Source organism: Homo sapiens, chromosome 4 (assembly GCF_000001405.40).
Source record: "Homo sapiens chromosome 4, GRCh38.p14 Primary Assembly".
Lineage (NCBI taxonomy): Eukaryota > Metazoa > Chordata > Mammalia > Primates > Hominidae > Homo > Homo sapiens.
Genome location: NC_000004.12, coordinates 10,957,781 through 10,958,989, shown reverse-complemented (window position 1 = coordinate 10,958,989; position 1,209 = coordinate 10,957,781). Strand labels below are relative to the sequence as shown.

At 42.3% G+C, this 1,209-nt stretch overlaps 1 annotated feature.

Annotated features, from left to right (window-relative positions):
* Positions 311–605: a silencer, noted in NCBI's record as "tiled region #8730; K562 Repressive non-DNase unmatched - State 24:Quies". NCBI's record gives its function as "represses a minimal TATA promoter and a strong SV40 promoter by Sharpr-MPRA in K562 cells {active_cell/tissue: K562}" and the evidence as "EXISTENCE:reporter gene assay evidence [ECO:0000049][PMID:27701403]".

The following is a 1,209-nucleotide window of genomic DNA, read 5'->3' as shown; positions in this document are numbered from 1 at the left end:
CTATCCAGCTGTCCCTGTATCTCATTTCTGTTTTCTGTATGTCAGTTTCCTTTCTCTTTCCATAAATCTTATACTACAGAGCAGCACCAGAGTCTGTTTCGGGAGGCTACCTGATTGCAAATTGCTCCTTTGCTCAAACAAACTCTGTTAAATTTAATTTGTCTAAGATCTTTCTTCCAACAGTTGATTGCAAAAACTTGGGGGTAATGGCATAATCCCAAAGTTTTCCCTAAACTAGCACCATCCCCTTCCCCCCTGCCCCACCTCATGGCCTCTTTAAGAAGCAGGAGAAAGTTATCTGCTAGGGGAAGTAAAAGTGAGCTCCGCATAACAAAACTCTCTTTCTCTCTAGGAGCTGACTCTGCCCTGCTCCTTCCTTGTGTCGTTCTTGACACTTAGCTCATTTGTTCAACAAACTTCTGTTAAATATCTTCTTATGTGAGCCTAAGGAATGAATAAATTCCTCTGTAGCAGCCTTGACCTCAGAAAAGGTCGAGGCCAGGCATTCCCTAGTACACACTAGTGGGTCAGGAGCAAATAAGAAGGTATTTGTGACTCTTCTTCAACCCAATCCAATTTCCTCATCAGAAATTGCCTCTTTTTCAGCTGTTAAGGCGGGAAGTATCCAACAGCAGGAGCTCTGATGGGGAGAATGGGCTTGTTTTTTATTACATTCCTCCCATTCCAAGGTGGGAAACCAGAACATCACTACGATAGAGTGATTCTGCTCTTTGGGGTAGGAGGGCTGCTCAGAACTCAAGTATTGTTCTGTATAAGGGGAGTAGAGCAATCTTGTGCACAGACTCGTTTTCTCTGTGCCTCAGGAGGCCATGTGGGTTGGTACACAGAGTCTGTTGGAGATGAGTATCCAGCACCTCAACATAAACTAGCCATTATGTGTTGGCCTCTCTCGGGTGCTTACATTATAGACATTGTACATATAATTTAAGGCATCCGAGAACTTCCAGAAGCCAAGGAATGGATGGGTGCCCAGTTAAGAAGACTTATTCTAGATGTAATTGTGGATTTATTGAAATCATCTTCCAAATTCTGCTTTATCTAGGATAAGTATTATTGCATTTATTTGAAGTTCAAATTAGGCGCCTATGTCATTTATTTTGCATGTGTATACACAATTCTAATTTTTTGGTCTGGTTTGGTGTTTAAGGAGAAGCAGCATGATAGGGAAGAGCAGTTTCTCCCTGGACA